General features: G+C 39.9%; 1 protein-coding gene across 1 annotated transcript in view; it reads left to right on the top strand.

Moving 5' to 3' along the window:
- Positions 18,194–25,361, top strand: part of GUCY2F (guanylate cyclase 2F, retinal) — a 109,181-nt gene continuing 102,013 nt past the window's right edge. The window contains exons 1-2 of the mRNA NM_001522.3: positions 18,194–18,414; positions 24,259–25,073. Coding sequence (NP_001513.2) covers positions 24,344–25,073 — 730 coding nt within the window. The 5' untranslated portion in view covers positions 18,194–18,414; positions 24,259–24,343. The remainder of the gene's footprint in view (positions 18,415–24,258; positions 25,074–25,361) is intronic.

The following is a 25,361-nucleotide window of genomic DNA, read 5'->3' as shown; positions in this document are numbered from 1 at the left end:
GCTCCTGTAAAAAGGGTTGATGAGGCCAGTGCGGTGGCTCACGCCTGTAATTCCACACTGTGGGAGGCCAAGGGAGGTGGATTGCTTGAGCCCAGGAGTTTGAGACCAGCTTGGACAACATGGCAAAACTCTGTCTCCACAAAAATACACAAAAATTAACTGGGTGTGGTGGCATGTCCTGGTAGTCCCAGCTACTATAGAGGCAGAGGTCAGAGGATTGCTTGAGTACGGAAGGTAGACGCTGCAGTGAGCCAAGATAGTACCACTGCACTCCAGCCTGGGAGACAGAGTGAGACCTCATCTCAAAAAAAGGGCTTATGACAGCAGGTGCTTTCCCCTGCTTTTCTGCCAGGTGAAGACATGGTGTTTCTCCCCTCTAGAGGATGCAGCATTCAAGTTGACATCTTGGAAGCAGAGAGAACAGGCTCTAACCTGCTGGTGTCTTGATATTGAACTTCTCAGCCTCCAGAACTGTGAGAGAATATATTTCTGTTCTTTATAAATTACCCAGTCTGTGTTATTGCAGCACAAAATGGACTAAGACAGCAGTTAAGGGAGAAAGGAGACATGTATGGCTGATTTAGGCATGCATCTGCACAGTAGGCCATCACTAGTTAGAAGTGGATGGCCTTTGCACTACAAGCCCCTCTGGATGGCTCTGAAAGACAGTGGAGAAAGAATTTCCTTCCAGTGAGGTGAACTTCAGGAGCATCCAGTTGTCCATTTCATGTGGAAGAAGAGATGGCCTGAGGTATGTATTTGCTGGTCAGGGACTTGGAAATAACATAATTCGACAATTGATGGCAGGAGATCTAGGGGGAAAGATATGTAGATGGACTTCTTGGAATGGGCAGAGTGTGAAGATAGTTATGCCTTACATAAATGCTCACCAGAGGCCAGTTAGTCCAGAGGAGGTTCTCAATGATCAGGTGAGAAAGATGACCCAGCCTGTGGAAGTCAGCTAGACCCTCTCTTCTGCCACTCCACTGCTTGTATAATAGACCCATGAACAGAACAGACATGCATGCATGGATAGACGTTAAGTCTGTGCCCAGCAGCATAAAACTCATTAAGGTTGATTCTGATTACTACTGGGTGTCCATTCTCCAAACAGCATAAGCCAATGTTGAGCTCCTGATATGGCACTATTCCCTGGGAGGACCAGCTAGCTACCTGGTGGCAGGTTGATAACATCAGACTTTTTTCATTATGAAAGGGACAGTACTTGGTCCTCACACGGATAGACATATTCTGATAGAGATTTGTCCTTAACGTTTACAGGGCTTCTTCCCAGTCACCATAATTCATAGATTTAGAGAATGATTAGTCTATGCAAGAGTAAACAATTGTGATGGTAAACTTTATGTGTCAAGAATGGAGCAAGATGGCCAAATAGTAGCCTCCGTGAATCGTCCTCCTCCACAGGAACAGTAAATTTTAACAACTATCTGCACACAGAAAACCACCTTTATAAGAACCAAAAATAAGGTGAGCAATCACAGTATCTGGTTTTAACTTCATATTGTTGAAAGAGGCACTGAAGAGGGTAGGAAAGACAGTCTTGAATCACTGATGCCACACCTCTTCCAACCCCCAGCGGCAGCTGTGTGCTGTGGAGAGATAATCTGTGCACTTGGGGAAGGGAGAGTGCAGTGATTGAAATCAGTGCTGCTGTGTCTCAGCATAAAGTAAAACCATGCTGAACTTAGCTAGTGCCCACCCACAGAGGGAGCATTTGGACCACATCTAGCTTGAGGGGAAGTGCCCATCCCAGTGGTCAGAACATGAGTTTCTTGGCAAGCCTTGCCACCATGGAATAAAGTGCTTTGGTGTTTGTATTAGGGATCTTTAGAGGAACAGCACTAATGGAATATATATATATATTTATATATATATATGACTTTATTAAGTATTAACTTGCACAATCACAAGGTCCCACAATAGTCTGCCTGCAGGCTGAGAAGCAAGGAGAGCCAGTCAGAGTTCCAAAACTGAAAAACTTGGAGTTCGATGTTTGAGGGCAGAAAGCATCCAGTACAGGAGAAAGATGTAGGCTGGGAGGCCAGGCAAGTCTCTCATTTCACATTTTTCTGTCTGCTTATATTCTAGCTGTGCTGGCAGCTGATTAGATTGTGCCAACTCAGGTTTAGGGTGTGTCTCCCTTTCCCAGCCCACTGACTCAAATGTTAATCTCCTTTGGCAACACCCTCACAGACATACCCAGGATCAATAATTTGTATTCTTCAATCCAATCAAGTTGACACTCAGTATTAACCATCACAGGGTCCTAAGTGAACTTGAAAGACAGTCTAGGACACAAGGACTGCAATTCTTAAGCAAGCATTGATGCTGTGCTGGGCTTAGAGTCAGTGGACTTGGTCTGCATGTGACCTAGGGAGACACCAGATGGTGTGGCTGGGCGAGTGCTTATATTACCCCTCTCCCAGTGCCAGGCAACACAACTCAGATCAACAAAAGTGAGTCCTTCCTTCTGCCTGTGGAGAGGAAAGAGAAGCATAAAGAGAACTTTGTCTTGCATCTTGGATACTCGCTCAGCCACAGTAGAAGATGGCACTGGACAGAGTCGTGAGACCCCCATCCCAGGCTTCAGCTCCTGGGTGACATTTTTAGACACACCCTGGGTCAGAAGGGAACCTGCTGCCTTGAAGGGAAGGACCCAGTCTGGGCAAGATTCATCAGCTGCTGACTAAAGAGTCCTTGGGCCCTGAATAACCAACAGTGATACCCAGGGAGTAATGTTATGGGTCTCGTGTGAAACTTGGATATGTGCTGGCTTCAAATAGTAGGTCTTAAATAGTAGGTCTTATTCCTAAATTTTATATGGAATCCTAAAATTTATATGGAACTACAGAAAACCCAAAATAGCCAAAGCTGTCCTGAGCAAAGAGAACGAAACTGGAGAAATTACATTATCTGACTTCAAATTTTACTACAGAGTTATAGTAACCAAATAGCATGGTACTAACCTAAAAACAGACACATAGACCAATGGAACAAAATAGAGGACCCAAAACGAAAGTCACACATCTACAGTGAACTCATTTTTGACAAAGTTTCCAAGAACATACTTTGGGGAAAAGACAGTCTCTTCAATAAGTGGTGCTGGGAAAACTGGATATCCATATGCAGAAGACTGAAACTAGATTCCTATCTCTCACCATATACAAAAATCAAATCCAAATGGATTAAAGACTTACATCTAAGACCTCGAACTATGAATCTATTAATTTGAGGAAACCCTCCAGGACATTGGTCTGGGTAAAGATTTCTTGAGCAATACCTCACAAGCAGAGGCAACCAAAACAAAAATGGAGAAATGGGATCTCATCAAGTTAAAAAGCCCCTGCACAGTGAAACAGACAATCAATGAAGTGAAGAGACAACTCACAGAAAGGGAGAAAATATTTTCAAACTACCCATCTGACAAGGGATTAATAATCAAAATGTATAAAGAGCTGAAACAACTCTATAGGAAAAAATCTAATAATCCAATTAAAAAATGGGCAAAAGATCTGAATAGACATTTCTTAAAAGATGGCATACAAATGGCAAACAAGCATATGACAAGGTGCTCAGCATCACTGATCATCAGAGAAATGCAAATCAAAACTGCAATTAGAGATCATCTCACTCCAGTTTAAATGGCTTTTATCCATGAGATAGGCAATAACAAATGCTGGAGAAGTTGTGGAGAAAAGACAACTTTTGTACACTCTTGGTGGGAATGTAAATTAGTACAACCAATATGAAGAACAGTTTGGAAGTTCTTCATAAAACTGTAGATAGAGCTACCATATGATCCAGGAATCCTACTGCTAGGTATATACCCAAAAGAAAGGAAATCAGGATATCAAAGAGATGTCTGCACTCTCATGTTTATTACAGCACTATTCATAATAGCCAAGATTTGGAAGCAACCTGAGTGTCCATCAACAGATGAATGGATAAAGAAAATGTGGTACATTTATATGCACAATGGAGTATTATTCAGCCATAAAAAGGAATGAGATTCTGTCATCTGCAAGAATATGGATGGGACTGGAGGTCATTATGTTAAGTGAAATAAGTCAGGCACAGAAAGACAAACCTTGCATGTACTCATTTATTTGTGGAAGCTAAATATTAAAACAATTGAACTCACAGAGATAGAGAGTAAAATAATGGTTATCAGAGGCTGGGAAGAGTAGCGGGGGGAAATTAGTGGGAAAGAGGAAATGGGGATGGTTAATGGGTATAAAAATGGTTAGAAAGAATGAATAAGACCTACTATTTGATAGCACGAGGGTGACTATATTCAATAATAATTTAATTGTACATTTTAAAATAATTAAAATAATATAATTGGATTGTTTGTAACACAAAGGTTAAATTCTGAAGGGGATGGTTACATCATATTCCATGATTTGATTATCATATATTACATGTTTGTATTAAAATATCTCATGTACCACATAAATATAAACAGCTACAAAAATTAAAAATTAAAAAAATTAGGTACCCACAAAAATTAAAACAATTTTGTATCAAATTGGCTGGGCCATGCTGCTCACAGAGTTGGTCAAACAGTATTTTGGATGTTTCTGGTGAATGTGTTTTTGGATAAGATTAACATTTAAATTGGTGGACTTTGAGTACAGCAGATTACACTCCATTGTACGAGTGAATCAAATTTAATTAGCCTTAATAAAACAAAACTATCCTACCCCAAGCAATAATTTCTTGACTGCAGAGTGCCATTAAACTTGGACCGTAACTATTCCCTGGGTGTTCAGTTTGCTGGCCTACCCTGTAGATTTTGGACTTGTATCTTCACAATCACATGAACCCATTCCTTAAAATAAACCTTTCCTTCTCTAGGTATACATATCCTGTTGGTTCAGTTTCTCTAGAAAACCCTCACTAATACACCCACCCAACATTTCTTTGACCAGAAATTCACTTTATGGCAAAAAATAATAATAATAATAACGCAGTGGGCTCATACCCATGGAATTCACTGTCTTACTATGTACTCCTTCATCCAGAAATAGCTGTCTTCATAAAATGTGTAATGGCCTGCTGAAGGCTCATTTATGGCAGCCTCTGAGAGACAATACTTTGTGAGCTTGGGGTGTTATCCTGCAGGACAGTTTATGCTTAAAAGCAACCCATGGCCAGAATGTATAGGTATGATAACCAAGGAGTGGAATTAGGAGTGGCCCTTCTCAGTATAATATCCAATAATTCACTTAAAGAATGTTATCTTCCTGTATCTGCAAGCTTGGACTTGGTGTGTTTGGAGTCACCAAGGGAGCTAAAGTGCTAAGAGAGGATTGCTTACACCAGGATACATGGTCAGGATGTTTCCAATTAATTGGGAGCTGCGATATCACTTGGTCATTTTGGAGACACCGTGCTATTGAACCAACAGGTCAGTGTGTTGTCTGGAGTGACTAATCCCATTTACTAGGGGAAAATTGGGTTCCTGCTACACATGGGAAAAATAAGAGTATGTTTGGAACCCAGCGTATTCACTGGGGTGTCTCCTGTACTTCTTTGCCCCATAGTACTGGTCAAATTGGAAATGGGACAACCCAATAATATAGATATGACCATACTCATATGCCACTGATCTAAAGAGTTTGTTTTTCCCACCAGTTTAAGAGCCCCATCGAGCCTGTATGCTGGCAGAAGATAAGGGAATTATGAGGCGGGTAGTGGAAGAAGGTAGCTTTGATTACTTAAGCAGTTTACAAAAACAGATACTATAGCAGCTACTTTTTATGTTACTTTTAAAAGTCCTATTTTTATACCCTCTGCCTTATGTGAAGAGCACTAGTGTGATTGTTTTAGGTTTCAGTTGGGAATGCAACTCAATTGACATCATCCTTTGATCATGCAATAGCTATGGGTCTTTGTGTGTCCTGTGCAAGGGAAACAAACTCTTCACCTAGGTGAACAACAATAGTGGACACTGAGGGGCAAAAGGATTGCACTATGTTAGATATGTATCACTTACTCCTCCAGAGCCACTCTCTACCTTTTTTTTATTCTGCTTTCATCCCTGAGAGGGTGATCTTTATGGATTATATCAACAGGCTTCCTTTCCTTTAGTTAGTTTCTATTTTTGTTTGCCCATGGGGACCATGGCAGGATATCATAAAGAAAATAATGAGCTTAGGCTATTTATTACATTCAGCTCTTTTCTTGTTGGGTCACCGTGAGATGGCTGTGTCCATTTGTTGATGGACCTTTTGTTAAAAGGTCACAATTCTTTTCCGAGTGGTCCTTTCTACATGACTTTTTTGAGTTCTGGTAATTACTCCCTTCCCTCAGTCCTTCCAGCCTAAGGGTTTTAATATCTCCAGTTAAGAGTGTTATCCCTTGTGGTTTTGCTGCACCCTGCCCACACCTTTGTAAACAATTTCTTTATTAAGCCATTCTTGAATCTTCCTATTTTGAATATGTCATCTGTTTCTTGCTGGGACCCTAACATGTCCCTTCTCGTTGTTTCCTCTCTATGTTGCCCCTTTCCTTCTCTAATTCCCTTAACTGTAGGTGCTTACTTAGAGTCCATTACTAGGATTTCAACTATTACCTCTAAGCTGATTAACCCCTAATCTATAGCTGTAGCCTGGATTTCTCTTCTCAGCTTCAACTCTGCCTTTGCATCTCCCTACTATACCACTTAAAAGTTAACATTTCCAAAAATGAAATTTGTCCCTGTCTCCCCAAGACTGTGTGCTTCCTGCCATGTTCCTAACTCAGTTCTAAGATATTTCAGGGATAAGGGTCCTCTTCTCATGAGTAAAAGTCAATTACACTCAAAGAAAAGGCATTTTAAAACACTACTGTCACTGTCATCCAGGTGTAAATCTCAAGTCCTCCTCCGCTCCCACCTCCACTGCCATCAAATCAGTTACTGTTAGTTCAATTCTACCTCTTAAATGATTCTTGAATCCACCCTTTCCTGTTTTTATGGTTACTATACTATATAGCATGGTGATGAAGGGATAGGTATTGGCTTCAGTCAGACCTGGATTTCAATTCTATATCTGCCACTTACTTGGCTGAGTTCATTTTCTCATTCAATGAATACTTATTGGGCATTAACAGCACCAGGTACTGTTCTAGGCCCTAAGGATTCAGCAATAAACAACAATAAGTCTCTGCCTTCATGAAGCCTACATTCAAGTGGGAGAGATAGATTATAAATATGTTAACAAAGTAGTAAATAAGGTATTTTTAGATTGTGCCCCAGTGAAAACAAAACAGGGTAGTGGGAAAGTAAGTGTCATGGGAGATGGAAACCTTAGACAAAGTCATGACAGAAGTGTGGCTAGAGAAGAAAAGAGGGTCCTGGACCAATTCCTGGAATATGCCAAGATTCAGAGGTTGGGAAAAATAATAGCAAATGTGTTACAGGCCTTACTAAGTGCCAGGCACTGTCCTAAGTGCATGACATAGAGTAATTCATTGAATCCTTTACCAAAACACTAGGAAGTATCATTTTGATCTTTACCACCATTATACTAATAAGGAAACGGAGGCACAAAGAGGTTAAATAACTTCCCAAGCTCACATAGAAAGCAAATGGTAAAACTGAGGCTTGGACATAGGCAGTCTTGTTTTGGAATCCATGTTCTTAACTACCATGCAGAATGCTGCCCTCCCAAGAGGAGGGAGAGGAAGAAGAGCCAGTAAAAGAGACTAAGAAGTAATGTAATCTGTATTATTTTCAGTTTTCTCATCTGTAAAATGGAAATAAAAAGTATGTGGTTCATGGGGTTCTTGTGAAGATAGAATTTTATAATGCTTGCAAAATACATATCACAGTGCTTGTCAAGTAGTAGCCACCCAATTAACGGTAACTACTATTTTTACTTCTTAGACTGTTGTAGTAGTTCCCTGAGTAATTTACGTTACCCCTCTCTCTGATCCCTTATGCCAAACCAAACAACTGGTTCACACATTCCAGTTTACCTCTATGCAGTGGTGCCATTCTAATATTACGTACCACTCATCTAATCAATTTCCTTCAGTGGTTCCCAATTGCCTGTAGCAGAGGTTGGCAAACTTTTTATGTAAGAGTACAGATAGTAAGTATTCTTGGGCTTTGTGGGCCATGTATTTTCTGTTGCAACTACTCAGTCCTGCCATTGCATAAGAAAATAATCTATAGACAATGCATAAGTAAATGAATGTGAATGTGTTCCCACAAAAGTTTACTTGCAAAAGCAGGGATCAGGCTCGGTTTGCCCCACAGACCATAGTTTGTCAACTCCTGGCCTACAGAATTCAGTTTGGCATTCAAGACCCTATCTACCTCTTACGCTGGTCTCCTGCTGCTCCCAATCATGCATTCAACATTCCAGCCAAACCACATGATGCTCTATTCTCTTTGTTTACACCAGTTCCTCTCTCTGAGTTGTTCTCCTCTTTAAGCTCTGTTAAAATCCTATCTATCTGTATTGATTATGGTCCTTTGTTAGCAAGTAACAGAACTGACCTTGGCTGTGGTATGTAGACTGCAGGTGCTCATACATAATAATGTTCTCCTCTTTTGTTTGGACAACCATCTAGATTACATTTCCCTGTCTACCTTGCACCAAGGTATGGTCATGTATCTAAGTTCTGGGCAATGGAATGTGAGCAGAAGTGATATGTGCCATTTTCCATAAAAATCTCCCACATTTTATCCTGCCAGTTGAATGCAGAGGACTTCTAAGACCTAGAAGAGAGCAGAGCCAAAGAATGGAAAGAGCCTGGGTCCCTTAGTAGACCCACTCTGGGTAGGACATGAATGGGAAATGGCTTATATTTTAAAGCCACTGAAATTTGGCAGTTGATGTATTACTTACCCAAATTAATACACTGGCTAGTCAAGGAGTTTATTTGGAAGACAATGAGTTAGCTTGCAGAAGGAATAATTAAACCAGCAGGTCTCAAAAAAGATGGAAATCATGACATTATCCAGGATCTATATGGAGGGAACTAATGAGCTACTTTTCCAGGTGTATTAGACCCTTCTCACATTGCTAATGAAGACATGCCCAAGACTGGGTAATTTATTAAGAAAAGAGGTTAAATTAACTCACAGTTCCACACGGCTGGGGAGGCCTCAGGTAACTTACAATCATGGCGGAAGCCACCTCTTCACAGGGCGGCAGGAGAGAGAATGAGTGCCAGCAGGGGAAATACCAGATGCTTATAAAACCATCAGCTGTCATGAGACTCACTCATTATCATGAGAACAGCATGGGGAAGACAACCCCCATGATCCAATTACTTCCACCTGGTCCCGCCCTTGACATGAAGAAATTATTACAATTCAAGGTTGAATTTGGGTGGGGAGACAGAGGCAAACCATATCACCAGGGCACCATTGGCATTATGAATCAGCTCTGTTTTTCATCTTTGCATTGCTTAGCTCAAGATTCAGATTCTTAGGCAAATCCAATGGACTTGGTTTGGACCTAGTACCCGCCACTTTCTTGATCAGAGGGGTGCAGGGCATATTGATTGGCAGTCCCTGAATGCTACACACAATGCGGGAAGGGAGTCTTCCAGAGGGAATAACATAACCGGTACTCAGAATATCATACAAAGTAGTGGTGAATATCCAGAATCTACAATGAACTCAAACAAATTTACAAGAAAAAAACAAACAACCCCATCAAAAAGTGGGCAAAGGACATGAACAGATACTTCTCAAAAGAAGACATTTATGCAGCCAAAAAACACATGAAAAAAATGCTCACCATCACTGGCCATCAGAGAAATGCAAATCAAAACCACAATGAGATACCATCTCACACCAGTTAAAATGGCGATCATTAAAAAGTCAGGAAACAACAGGTGCTGGAGAGGATGTGGGGAAATAGGAACACTTTTACACTGTTGGTGGGACTGTAAACTAGTTCAACCATTGTGGAAGTCAGTGTGGCGATTCTTCAGGGATCTAGAACTAGAAATACCATTTGACCCAGCCATCCCATTACTGGGTATATACCCAAAGGACTATAAATCATGCTGCTATAAAGACACATGCACACGTATGTTTATTGCAGCATTATTCACAATAGCAAAGACTTGGAACCAACCCAAATGTCCAACAATGATAGACTGGATTAAGAAAATGTGGCACATATACACCATGGAATACTATGCAGCCATAAAGAATGATGAGTTCATGTCCTTTGTAGGGACATGGATGAAATTGGAAATCATCATTCTCAGTAAACTATCACAAGAACAAAAAACCAAACACCGCATATTCTCACTCATAGGTGGGAATTGAACAATGAGAACACATGGACACAGGAAAGGGAACATCACACTCTGGGGACTGTTGTGGGGTGGGGGGAGGCGGGAGGGATAGTATTAGGAGATATACCTAATGCTAGATGACGAGTTAGTGGGTGCAGCACACCAGCATGGCACATGTATACATACGTAACTAACCTGCACATTGTGCACGTGTACCCTAAAACTTAAAGTATAATTAAAAAAAAAAGACACCAATTAAGAAGACTATGTAATTCAAACAAAACAAAACAAAACAAAACAAAGTAGTGGTGAACCTTAGACTTTATGTGGCCCACTATTGAATTATTAATTTCATTTATTGTATTTTTCATTTTCAGAATTTCCATTTGATTCTTTTTTTTATAGATTCTAGTTTTCTGGTGAAATTCTCCACATTGTTCTTCATTTTCTTGAATATTTATAGCCCATGTCATATAACTGCAATAACTTGGTCATTAAGTCTGTTCCTGTTGCCTGCTTTTTTTTTTTTTTCTTCTTGGTGCTGTTTCTTGGTACATTAGTTAATTTTTCACTGAGTGCCAGACTTTGTGCCTAAAAAAGTATATAGACTCTAGATGATCTTATGTGCTCCAGAGCGGATTCACCCTATATTTTGCCAGGCAGCGGAAGGGCAAATTATCTTAATCCTTTCAGCCACTGAGCTGACCTGAGGCTGGTTTGCAGTGTTTGCTAGACTCAACCTATTTCTAGTTTGCTCTATTCCTAGGATATAGCTCTCCAGGGGTCCCAAATGAGAACCAGGGATAGATGTTTCCCAGGGACACATCTCCTTGAGAAGTTCTGAACTCCAATTTTTGCATCTTCAGCTCTGTGAATCTTCCTGAAACTCCGCTCTACTTTTTAGCCACTCTGCAGGGCTTATAATCTTTATAATCTTTTGCCCTGTGCAACTTAATTGGCAATTTCCTGGAGTGGAAAAGTTGTGCTGTGTCAGGTTCACTTTCCTTTGCTGCTTCTCTCTGCAGTTTCATGGCTGTTCAAATCCTGGCTGGCCTTGGCAGACCTTAAACTTCAATTTTTATACTCCGAGTTCTGTGATATTACCTAAAGCTCTGTTGACTTCTCTGCCTCATAGGAGTCACCCTCTACCCAGTTTCTGGACCAAGAATTGAGAAATACCCTAAGGGAAAAACAACATGCAGAAAGTTGGGCTTATTTTCATGAGCTTCCCTTCTTTCTGGGTTCTTACCTCTCAAGGCCTGGCTCTCTGATGCCTTCAAAAAGGAACTTTTTGGGGAGTATTTCACCTGATTTTTCTAGTTGTTTGCAGCAACAGCATTAGTTTGCTACAAGTTGCTCTATCTTAAAACAGAAGTCCCTTGTGTGGTACAATATTTTAATAAGTATTGGGCCTCCAAGAATTTTCTTGTATATTTATTTTATTTATGAGATTCATTACTGGATGAGAAACCGGCTGTTTGCACCACCTCAGATATATAACGTTTAATGATGATAATGATGACAGTGTGTGTACCAGTCAGGGTTCAGGGCAGAAAACAGAAACCACTGTAAGTTTCTTAAGCAGAAGGGAATGCTCTTGCCTCTTTAATTACAAAAATGGAATTATACAGACCATTTCCTTAAATGTATCATGGCATACTTTCAGATCAATAAATGGACAACCTTTCCTTTTTAAAAAAAATTTTAAATTTTTTAGTTTGATTTATAGTATTCCACAGCATGGATGTTCTGTAATGAATGTAACCACCCCCCCATTGGTGGGCATTCAGGTTTTCTCCAGGTTGTTTTCTGCCACTAAAATAACACTGCAATAAATATCTTTGTGAAAACACATGCTAATGCTTTTATTACCGTGCAAGAGACTTTTCCAAGTACAACTGCTAGGTCAAAGTGTATACATATTTTTATATTGTAATATATACAGTTAGATTATGTTCCAAAAAGTTCCTAACAATTTACAGGCAGGAATTTAAAACAGGGTACTGAGTACTTACAAGATTGCTGGAAGGTCTAACGGTCTATTTCACAAGCGTAGTTCCAGAAAAATACAGAACTGAAACTTTAAGGGAATTACTATCTTTGATGTCACCAGTAGAGCTCTGCCAGAATCAAAAACCTGCTCTTTTCTCCTCTGCAGCTGCTGCAGCTGTTTCTGAATACCTACGGATCTAGATGAAGAGCATCCAATAGCTGTGACCCAGTGATTAGAAACCAGATGGGGACGCTGCTGTTGTTGACTTTGGTGGGGGTAGCACATCACTTCCTCTTGAGACCTAGGAAGGTGGAAAATGAGCACTGCAGAAAACCTCATATATACACATAGTTTTTCAGCCCACTTTTAACTGCCAAACTTCATATGAGTGCATCTACTTGGTGACATCTAATCCACATGGCAAATCTTAGGTACAGAAGATTCCGGGGTGTAATGGAAGTGAAGCAAGCCAATCCATAGTATTAGCACAGTTTATAAGCACTATATAGTATTATTAACTACCTGATTCTGCATAAGACTGTGCAAAGACACTAATTTTGGGGAATCCTCTGTCTACCACTGGACCTTAGAAGCAGGGAAAGAGACAAAGAGAAGATTCACAAAGCAGAAAATGCATATGGCTTATAAAATTATGAGAAAATAATTTTTAAATAACTCAATAGTAATAGAAAAATAGACGTTAATACCAAATATCTTTTTCTGGCCTATACAATTGACAAATGTAAATTTGAGACAATCTGCAGCTGGTGACAGGGCAATAAAATGGACACTTTTATTTTATTGACCATTGGTGAGAGCATAAATTGGTCCAAATATTTTGGAAAGTCATTGGACAATACATGTTAAGAACCATTACTGATATTCATACACTCTGACTCAGTAATTTTACTTCTGGGACTCTATCATAAATTAATAATCCTATTATATTGAAAAGAGGTTTATATTTAATGATATGCATTGTAGCATCATTTATAATAGGGAAAATTTGGAAACAACCTAAGTACTAGAGGAATGATTGAGTACATTTTGGAACATATACAAAATTAAATATTCTGTAGCCATAAAATAATGCATAAGTGAAGTGGTAATAATGTTTACCAGATTCTTTTATTTTAATCCATTGAGCACTACAAGGAAAATGCCTAAGACCTATGAACTTCCCAAGGATCTGCCAAAGGGGTTTGAAGCCTGACAAAAGTTATTGGCTTCAAAATATGAAGATAACTGCAAAATTAAAGTCTATAAATGTCTAAGTAAATGTCAAAAAATGTAACTCATCATTTTTATAGATTATTTCATTTTGTGTTCAGAACAATTTTGACACATTGGAAAAATGGTTGGTTAGATTGTATCAGTTGGTAAGAATTCTTTAGTATATATAATCTCTGCTAAGAAGCATAACTGATAATAAATTTCAAAGGCAAAATTTTAAAATCGTCTCAAATTTTTAGCAAAATATATACTTATTTGACATGGGATATGGGGTGTGTACATGTCAAAGTATATGTGATAAAATGTAGAGTGGAGCTTCTAAAAACAAGAGTGCCATGGGATTAGCATGGTCTAAAGAAATGCCATGTTTTGAGCACCCACCGTGTGCGACACTTAATGTACATCATTCTTTTTAATCCCCACAACAGTGCTGGGAAATAGTTCTGTTTATCATAATTTCTTTCATTTGAGGAAACCTAGGGCTTTAGGGAAATTAAGTAATTAACCTCAGGTCACACAGCTAGGGAATATGGTGATGGGGTTTGAAGGCAGGTCAGCTTGACTCCAAATCCTGTGCCCTTAGTGAGAACATAGGTATGTTTCCATGTCAAATTAAAAAAATAAGTTTACAAAATTGTATACCTGGTTTGAGTATAACTTTGGAAAAATACAGGATTCAATAAAAGCAAAAATTTTTTTCTGTTTTTTACTGTTCTGAATTTTCTAACATAGTTTTACAACAATCAGGCAACCCGTATTAATTTCTAAAAAAAATTGATCTTAGAGGAGTTTGATAATAATGTTAAAATATTGACATCTTGCGGCCGCGTGGTGTCATTACAACCTTGGCTTTACTTTCAGTGTGGGAGCTGACTACTAGAGGGCAGCACTGAGGTTTATTCGGGTCACGTTTTCTGGGCTGAATGTGGCAGAAAGCTGGGTCACTTCTCCACTCAAAACTGAAGAAAAGCAAACTCATTTATAATGCCATAAATACACACACATATATGTCAACAAAATAACGTATACTGTAAATATACAGCGTAATACACTTCAATAACTTCTTTGCATCCTGAAGCAGTATAGCAAAGTTATTCAGCGTCAGGCCCAGGAACTATGCTACCTGAATTTGCATCATGGCTCCACCATGTATCAGCTGTGTGACTTTGGCCAGAGCACATAAACTTCCTGTACTTTATTTTTTTTTTCTGTATCTCTAAAGTGAGAATAAGAATTTTCCCTACCTCTTAGGGATGCTGTGAGAAATAAATGAAGTAAGGCTAACAGTGCCAGTTGAAAGGAGATGCTCAAAAATTGGAAATTATCATTTTGCCTGTTGCCCAAAGCTATTCTACTTTTATGAAACAATATATGCCTTGTTGAGTACTATAAGTATTTGTTTAGTACTATAAGCAGACGGAGAATTTTGTTATTACTACTGAATCAGAAAAATAACTTTCTGTCAGGTAGGGTTAGGTGAAAAATCTAAAGGAAGGTCGAGAATCACAGTTCAGAGCCCTCACTGGAATGAAGCAAAATGTGTAAGTTTGCCTAACATCCTTTCTTGTAGTTTTCCTCTCTCATTCTAATTTATCTTTGTCCATCACCTCCCTTGTTCCCCAGGTTCTCACTTCCCCCAGGACAAGGAGCTACTTGTCCAAGCCTTATTCTGGATGATTAACTAGAAGCACACCATTCTGAATCATTTTTATACCTCATGCCCCAGCCCTGCATCTTAGTCTCCAAAGGAATGCAAGGATCCTAGGCTAATATTATGTAAGGCCATTTCCCATGATGTATGTAATTAGGAGTTCCCTGTAGTGTTTAGTAGTAATATATGTATATATAAAATGTAAAAGCGCTACTTTTTTTCTTTGCAACTAATGTTAAGAGGAAAGCTCAATCGATGTGACTGGCTTCACAGTTTTGTGGAGGGAGAGGGTGCTATTTTGGATTCTTTCATTCCATGGCACCTTAGGGAGTAAAGATCATACAGAGAAGATGAAATTTTGTAAATTGTTAGGCTTTGATATTGGAAACATAGACAGGAACTGATACGAGTTCCAACAACATGTAGTAGAATCCGTGAACATTCTGGTGTTGTAAGTCCATGAGAACACTAAGGTCAATACTTAATCATACAGTGTGCTGATGTTTCTGACATAGCAGTTCTAAAAGGTGTATAGGAATAATTCTTAAGTTTGTACTCGTGAATGGATTTGAAGTATCTGTATAATTTTAGATTCATGAGGACCCCAAATGGTTTTAGATTTCTGTTCTAAAATCATCTTTAATTATACTATAACTAAAACTTAGAGATCTAATGGGAATTCTTGAGTGTATGGATAAATCCAATGACCCCCATACTGTGATTAAGAGGCAGTGGTTAAGAGTCCTGACTCTAAAGCTAGAGTACTTATTTTCACAGATGGCTCCACCAGAAACTAGCTGTATGCGCTTGGGCAAATTACTTAATCTCTTTGTGCCTCAGTTTTTCATCTATAAAATGTGGATGATAATAATACCTACCCCATAGGACAGTTGTGATGATCCATTGAGCTAGTATATGTAAAGTCCGTAGAGCAACAAGTGTTTGTGGAACTCTTAATCAAAAGAAGCAAATTCACTTTAGAAATTTTATTTATGTGCTAATTCCCAGCTACTTCTACCTATAAATTTAGAATCTTATGTCTATTCAGGATTTTGGAACATTCCTTGAATGATGGTCCCTTGAACATCCTAGTCCTCATCAGAACCTTCTCATAAAATCCATACTGGGGTTGCTCATGGCACCATGCAGCACTACATAGAGAATGCTAACTGGGGCCCTCACTTGCACCAGTATTTCCATCAGGTCACCTGAAATTCTACAATTAGGGATTGTTTCCTTTGGGTAGTCACGGTGTGTTTCTGGAGACTCTATTAGAGTGCAAGCAGTCTTTGGAGGGATAGCACAAGGGTGCATTAGTGGAATATATCAAGGATAAACGTGAGCTTTCTTGGAGCCAAATAGTCTTGCGTTTAAATTTTCTGGCTCTATTACTTACTAGAATTAGAGTGTCTGAGTTCAAATTCTGTCTCTACTGACCAGTGGCTGTGTGATTTTTGGTAAGTTACTGTAACCTCTCTGGATGTCTGGGAATTCAAATAGTATCTATCTCGTGGGGTCACTGTGAAGATCTAAGGAGACAGGGCTTCCAAAAATGCCTGTCACATCATTGGCACTCAGTAAGTATGATTATTGCCTAATTTATCTCAGTCTTGGCATCCTCATTTACAAAATGGAAAGAATGGGTAATATCCACCTTCATGGTTGTTGTGAACATAAAGATGTACATATAAGTATAATGTACATATAAAATGCCTGTCATACTTAAATAAAAAACTGATAGATAGTAACAAGTGTTGGTAAGAATGTAGGCAAAAAAGAACCCTCATATGTTGCTGGTGGGAATGCCAAATGGTGCATATACTTTGGAAAACAGTTTGCCAATTCAAAAAATGTTAAACATAGAGTTATTATATGACCCAGCAATTCCCTGGGTATATGCCAAAGAGAAATAAAAACAATATGTCCATATAAAAACTTTTACACAAAAGTAATAAAAGCAGTATTCATAATAGCCCAAGGTGGAAACAACCTAAATTTCCATCAACTGATCATGTGGTATACCCAAAAAAGTGGAATATTATTTGGCCACAAAAGAAATGAAGTACTGGTACAGGCTAGAACGTGCATGAACCTTGAAAACGGTTTGTTTTTCAAACAAAGTGTGTTTGGTTTTTTGTTCTTGCGATAGTTTACTGAGAATGATGATTTCCAATTTCATCCATGTCCTTCTTTCATTCAAACAAAGAAGCCACTCGCAAAAGATCACATGTTGTATGATTCCATTTATATGAAATGTTCAGAATAGGAAAATCCATAGAGAAAGTAAATTAGTGGTGGCCTGGGGCTAGGAGGAGGAGAGAAATGGGGAGTGACTTTTAAACAAGAATGGAATTTCTTTGTGGGAATAATGAAAATGTTGCACAAGCTTGTGAATATACTTTAAAAAAACCCTAAATTATATACTTTTGTGGTAGATAAATTATATCTCAATAAAACTATTATTAAAAAACATTTCTCATTTAATATAAGTCATTTTTAGCCCTTAACACCTCAGTTCTCACGTTGGGAATCCAGAACAGGGCCCTGAGTGAATGATGCCCAGGACAGAGAGGGACTTCTTAAGGAAAAGGAATACATCTAAAGTATGGGGAAACAATGTCTCTGTACAAAGGTGTAGAGGGAAGTAGGGAGTCTCTCTTGGGAGGAAAGGCAGTGAAGGCACTTAAGGGGAATAGGAGAAGGAGACAAAATTCACCTGCTTTGAATTTTGCAGGGAGCCAGCCTGGATCACCTTTTATATTCTGGGCTGGAATCACAGCTGATGAATGTTTTGGCATTTAGAACTGTCCTGGAGAAAGGGCGATTGGTGGTTATTAGACAGAATGGAACAAGGAAGAACACAGAGGCAAAATCTGAGAGTTTGTGTCTGACTTTGAAAGGTAAAAGAAGGCAGTAGTCTGTGGAGGACGTATTTATCCAGAGGACTCTATTTGTTTGTTAATCTCTGGGTCATTGCATTTAGGTCAGCACTAACTCTGCTACAGGTGGGATCAATTTAAAGGATTAGAAGTGTCACTCTAAATCCTAATCCAAGTCTTGGTCTGCGGATGCTGAAGAGTGATTTTCAAAACATTTACTAACGCTTTCAATTATTTACCCCATTAATGGAATTTGTCAACAGACTGGAGTCCTTGACAGGATTGTGAATGCATAGAGGATGCAAAGAAATGGACACACTGAGGTAGCTATGCCAGTGGTCTGCATGCGCAGGCAGTAAACTGAAGACATTTGAGCGGTGAATTACTTGGTGAGTAGTTGACAGCTCTTGTTTATAAGAAAGATTGTAATGGGGGGAAAAAAGACACAGCCCACCTGGGAGCTGAGACGCTGATTGAGATACATTAGTTTTACTGCAATATGTAGTAAAAAAAAAAATTTAAAGAATGAAGGAAAGAAGGAAAGAAGGGTTAAAGAGAGCCTTCGAGATACTTTAAGTCAAGATTTGAGCTCAAAGGCTCTCATCCAAGCTTTCGTTTAGTTTCTCTCATGATTCTTTTTTTATTGCTTCCTGATGTTGTCTTATACAAGCTGTTAACTTGATTCAGGCTGTAATTAGAAAGACAAATCAATCTTTCATAGAAGTCCTCGGCTTGACAAGCTGGTATGAGGAGCCATTTCCCTCAGAGCTATTTGTCATAGTCTTTCTTTGTACATGTTTAACGAACGGTGGTTTTCTGTGTGAAGCCAGGCTTCCCATCAGATTGTAAAAACTACCTGAAATGAAATTATGCATCCCTATGCTCTAGCCGCTTTCCATGGAAGTCTGATCCCATGCAGGTGTTCACACCTGAGTAACCTAGGCAATGGCCCCAGAACAACTGTGGGCCAGTAGTATTCTATTTCCAAAATTTCATACCTTCAAACTTTGTTTTAGTTATATCCACATTTCCCATTAACCCCAGGAAAGACTTTAGTGAGCTAATTTTTTTCCTTAAACCAAAATCAGCAGGTGGAGGTTTAGGGCATCCTCCCCCTATCTTGCCCCTTTCTTTCCCTCCCTCCCTCCCTTCCTTCCTTCCTTCCTTCCTTCCTTCCTTCCTTCCTTCCTTCCTTCCTTCCTTCCTTCCTTCTTCTCTCCCTTCATTCCTCCCTCCCCTTCTTTCCTTCCTTCTTTCTCTTCTTCCCTCCTTCCCTCTCCCTTCCTCCCCCTTCCTCTTTTCCTTCCTTCTCTCTTCCTCCCTTCCTTCCTTCCTTCCCTTCTTTTTTTCTTTTTTCTTTTTTAAAGAATAAGTTTCCTTCTGTAAAATCTTGAGTTGGGGGATCAAGACTAAATCCTACAGCAACATAAAACTTTCTGGTTGTCCAGGGAGTCCTAACAGAGTTAGAAATATCACCAAATGCATCACATCGGTACCAGAAAAAATGTAAGGGCAGACCTTCAGCTTGGGAAATGTTTATCTTGCAGTTAACAAAGGGAAAAGAGCAACAAAAACTGAGAGTGAATGCCAAGGGACACTTTGTGGCATGTGGCCTGAGGAGGGACCCGTGTTGTATGAATTTTAGAAATGGTATAAAAAATCTAACTTTTTAGAATTTGGGGTGGGCATTGTGCTTAGGAGTTACCTGGATTATAACACAAAAATGCCAGCCTTACACCTAGAATGGACAGTTAATCACTTTGATCTGAGGGGCACCAAAAGTTTCTTCATTTTTTTGCTCAAAAAGTAGTCCATCCTCCTTTGCCTACCTGCAACTGATGCTTGAAATAGACATTATATTATTAGAGATTAATTATTTTGGCATAAACTTCTCCCCAGCCCTTAAGAGAGAACAAACACCACTGGTTGGGGAGGAATACAGGAAAGTGTCAAATATTATCATTCATTTACATATTAGTGCAAATCATTTAAAGAGTTTCTTTCTTTAGAGTTGTTTTCTCTCCATTAACGAGAGGGCAGAGAGAGCTGTGCTAGAAGTCTGAAGACAAACTTTACCCCTTGATAATTTTGCCAAAGGTGGGTCTTGATTAAGGCCTAAAATAGAGCATTTTAAATAACATGGTAATACAAAACATTTTATTTGTGCTCCATATCTCCTCTTCAGTATTAATTCAACATATATTTTTTGCGCACCTACTATGTGTCAGGCACTGCGAAGGGCACTGGAGATTTAATGTTAAGCAAAAGCAAGCAGGGAACTTACTAACTTGGTTTTCTCCCTCCTGAGGTACATGCTTGCTTTTCTTGTTTAGATTTCTTGGCCAGGCCCTTATACTCTCCCATTTTTTTTTTGTAGTTAGTCTTAGCACAGACCAACTTCTCAACGTGTGTTTGTTATTAATGATAATAAGATAACCAGTGATTTTAGGAGCCCAGGTTTTCAGTGTAGCATAACTCCAGCATTGTCGGGGAGTGGGGTCTTCACATCACAGAAGCTTGACAGAGGATTCCAGGCCAAAATTAAAAATGATCAGGAACTGGATCTACCAGATAGAAGCAAGTACTTTGGGGGAATCCAACTCCAGTGAGAAGCTAATTAGAGCAGCAAAGGCTAGAAAATGTTGAATGAACTCAGCAGTTTCAAAGTGCAGAGGTTTAGAAAAGTAACTGCCTAGACAAAGTACAGAATCCCAGGATGGATGGAGGTCAGAGAATAAAGGGACTTGCTGATCTGCTAGTCCAGCTAAAGGGGAAAAAGGAGAGACCTAGAGTAGGCAACAATCTGTTCAGGTCACATGGTGAGTTGGTGCAGAATTGGGTCCAGGACCCTGGCCTTCTGATTCCCAGTGCAGTCCTCTTTCCAAATAGGGAGGAAGAACCAGTGTTTATTGAAAGACAACTGTGCACTTAGTATTCTAATTTATTTACTTCTTTATCTCAAAATGATTAAATTAAATTTACCCCCACTTTGCAGATGAGGAAGTTGAAAATTGGGGCTAATATGCTGAAGGGTGTACCCTCAAGATTTCCATTCTCAAAGATTAGGATTAGCTTTACATAGAATACAGTGGAACTGGTGCTCCCCACCCCCAGCTGTGCAGCACTGTGCCCTGAGTGAGGAGTCAGTGGGCAGTCCCAGGGCTAGGCTTGAACACTAGTAGCAAATTACTTCTGGTTGGATAATGAATTTCTTGGTGGCTCCTCCCAATTTACTCTGCCCCTCCCCAACTCTACCTAATTTATTCTTTCATGGGTGACTGGGGAACTTCTTTAAACTGCAAATGAATGATTCGAACTCAGTTTGAGTAACATAGCAGGTATAATAATGGTAGTCTCATTGACTTCATAGATGAGGGGCTATCTGCAGAACTTCTATCTAGCACAGGGCTCAATCAACTGGGGTGCAAATCTCCATTCTACCGTGGTTTGCCCTTAGGCAAGTTACTTACCCTTTCTGAGCCTCAGTTTCATCATCTGTAAATAGTGATGATAATAACACCTACTTCAAAGGACTGTGATGAGTTTTTTAAATTCAGTTTTTAAAATGAGACAATACATGGAAAGAGTGTAGCCCAGCATTTGACACACAGCAAGAACTCAGTATATCTTAGACTTTGTTAGTCTAAGTGCTAATTTCTGGATTAAATGCACAGATACTGGGAAGGAACCCATGAAACTAGTGTGTTTGGGGAAGAAGAGGCAGTATGTCGGCTTTCTTGCCCTGTTGCTGTGAATAGGGTTTTGTTTCCCATATAGAGCTGTCCTCACTGTTGCACATTCCTAGTGGTCAAAAGAGTGAGGCCTATAAGGACAGAGAGATAATGTAGTTCAATATCCTTGTCACAATACAGACCAGAAATAGAGATCCTTCCCATATTACTCCAGATGAGTGGCTCCTACAGTGTCCTGCCTCCCAAATTTTGCCATGGCAGAGAAAAGAGGGAGGCTGGAAGAAGCTGGAAGAGAAGCTTGTGGCTCTTGACTAGAGCTCAGCTCTGGGTTGGGAGCTCTTTGAAGCCTGAGTCAACACCTCACACTTCATCCATCCTGTATCTCACTCTCATGCATTCAACATAGTGCACAGAATAGATCTAATTTTTTGGAGGCAGGTTAGACTGGATTATCTTTGAGGGCCTAGGAATAAATTTGAGGCTCTTATGCATATAATCAGCTCAGAATCATCTTTCCACTGTCCCCAAAGCAAAGTTAGAAGTCCTCCCCCATCCCACACACCCCTCAGCCACTGGCTTATGTTGTTTTGTGAACTGTTTGCTCCCCCAAGACTTTCTTGACTCTCATTCAAATCAGCTTTCACCAATATACGAATGTTGGGGCATACTATTTGTGGTAGGTCTTTAAGATTCACTAGATATGCCTCAGATTGGTCTCTTCAGGAGTCAAGGTTTCTCATAAAATTAGGAGTGAGAGTCAAGATAATAACCAACAGGGCTGGCACAGACAGAATTGTTGCTGCCCATAAACAACCAGTTTGGCCTGATTGGTGCACACCAGCGCTGATTATCAGCCCTGAAGAAAGCTATGCCATTATTTTGATCTTTGATTAGAATTAAGGATTTACTAAGGATTCTCCTTATTAACATCTCTGTGACCTATCTTTAAGTGTTGTGGGGTCTCAGGGTTTTGTCCTTTGTCTTCTTTCTTTACTCCACAAAAGGCATGTTTTAAATTACCCTCTATCAATTGATTACACTCAAATTTATAACTCTTATTCAGCTTTCTATTAAGAATTTATAACTCTTGTTCAGCTTTCTATTTTTTTCCTAGGCCCTCCAGTATGTGCTGTTATCTACTGGATATTGCCACTTGTTGGCCAATTCAAGATCTCTATCAGAATGCATCGTCTCTCCCACCTCCTTCCTCCAGTGTTTCCTATCTCAGAGACTTGTGCCATTTTCCAATCAGTTTCCTAGGTCTGAAAAGCTCAAAATCATCCTAGAGTCCTCCTTTCTTTTCACTTACCTTCTATATCTTGTCAGTCACCAAGTTCTTGTTATTTCTGTTTTCTTAATCTTGATATTTTTAATCTTGGAGGAGATGATCCCATTCCTCTAGGTCTTCACTACCACTCTCTTGGTCTGTCATCATTTCTCATATGGATTATTGTGACAGACTCCAAACTGGTCTCTTTGCCTCCAGTCTTGCTTTCTTCCAACTCATTCTCCACATTGTTGCTAGAGAGATCCTTTAAAATGGAAATCTGATAATACTATTTCCCTGCTTAAAACCATTGGGTACAGTATTCAATCATGGCATATCTTGGTGATCTGGCCCTTGCCTTGTCTGACATCACAGACTCAAGCAGAACAAATGCTTTAGAATTCTAAGAATCCATATATATATGTATACACACACACACATACATATATACACGCACATATATATATACACATATATATACACACGCACATATATACACACACACATATATATATAGTCTGTCTATCTATCTATCTATCTATCTATCTATCTATCTATCTATCTATCTATCTTTACCTCTGGGTCTTTCTGCATGTTGTTCCTTCTGTTTGGAAGGCTCTTAGCATCTTAGCACCAAACTACTCCTGCAACTTCATTCACCTGGCTAACTTTTCTTCAGTACTCAATCCAGAGAGACTGTTCTTCCTCCCTTCTCTCCTCCCCTGAAATCTGGGTTTAGGTGATCCTCTCTGTCTCTCTGTTTGGGCTACCTCAATCATAGCACTTTTTACTCTGCATTGTTATTATCTGTTTACATCTATTTCTCTCCAAGAGAGCTGTATGGGAGAGAAAAATGGACATATTGAAAACTATAATAATGATACTATGTCTAATATAATGCCAATGACTTGCCAGGCTCTGTTATAAGCACTTGCCGTGTGTTAACTCATGTAATTTTCAAAACACTGTAAGGTGGGCAGCTATTACTGAAGTTGAATAAATAGGAATTGGTGATAGATTGAATGTGGGGGAAGAGAAGGAGTCTCAGTGATTTCCAGTTTTCTGAAAGAAGCAAGTGGGCAAACAGTGGATGGATGTGCCATGTACTGAGATACGGGGTACAGGAAGAGGAGGAGTTTTGTCAGGATGGGGGAAAGAAACTTTTAGTTTGGGCACTGCCATTTTTTTTTTTTTTTTGCCATTCTTTCACAACCGATGATTTCCAGAAGCTTCAGAAATAATGTGAGTAACAAACCTTTTCCTCTGATTGACAGGCATTTGGAAACACCACCGTCTGTGTCGGGAAAGCAGAATAACTCTCCAGTATCTCGTCATTAGCTTGCTGGAAGCAGGAGGGCTATGTTCCTGGGACTCGGGCGCTTTTCTCGCCTTGTTCTCTGGTTTGCGGCTTTCAGGAAACTGCTGGGACACCATGGCCTTGCATCTGCCAAGTTCCTGTGGTGCTTGTGCCTTCTGTCTGTCATGTCCCTTCCGCAGCAGGTGTGGACACTCCCCTACAAGATAGGGGTGGTGGGCCCTTGGGCTTGTGATTCGCTGTTTTCAAAGGCCCTGCCTGAGGTTGCTGCGCGATTAGCCATTGAGCGAATCAACCGGGACCCATCTTTTGACCTGAGTTATTCTTTTGAATACGTGATTCTCAATGAAGACTGCCAGACTTCGAGGGCTCTCTCCAGTTTCATTTCCCACCACCAGATGGCCTCAGGATTTATTGGACCTACCAACCCTGGCTACTGCGAGGCAGCCTCGCTCCTGGGAAACAGCTGGGACAAAGGAATTTTCTCTTGGGCTTGTGTGAATTATGAATTAGACAATAAAATTAGCTACCCGACCTTTTCTCGGACACTCCCTTCTCCCATCCGGGTGCTTGTAACTGTCATGAAATATTTCCAGTGGGCTCATGCTGGAGTCATTTCCTCAGATGAAGACATTTGGGTGCATACAGCCAATCGAGTCGCAAGTGCTCTTCGGAGCCACGGCTTACCTGTAGGGGTCGTCCTGACCACAGGACAAGACAGCCAAAGCATGCGGAAAGCCCTCCAGAGGATTCACCAGGCAGACAGAATTCGCAGTGAGTGCTTTCTCCCGCTGAAATTTAAACGTGACTTCAGGGAAAGAGATTACAATCTCCAAAAGGTTTCCTACCCTCACACCCTAGGGTAGCACATCCCTTCCCATTTCTTTACACATTTGCCCTTTTTCACTCACACACAGGTCCCAAGACTGCCCTGCTTCAACAGAGCCTATTTTATGAACTGAATAACAGTACAAAGAACTCTGTGCTTCATATGCCTGTGAATGCTAGTGCCTGCTCTTAGCGCCTGAGTGAAGAATGGTGTCAAGAGCACTGTAGCCATAC

This window comes from Homo sapiens, chromosome X (genome assembly GCF_000001405.40).
Source record: "Homo sapiens chromosome X, GRCh38.p14 Primary Assembly".
Taxonomy (NCBI): domain Eukaryota; kingdom Metazoa; phylum Chordata; class Mammalia; order Primates; family Hominidae; genus Homo; species Homo sapiens.
Note: the sequence above shows the minus strand (reverse complement) of the source record. Positions and strands in the feature narration are given on the sequence as shown.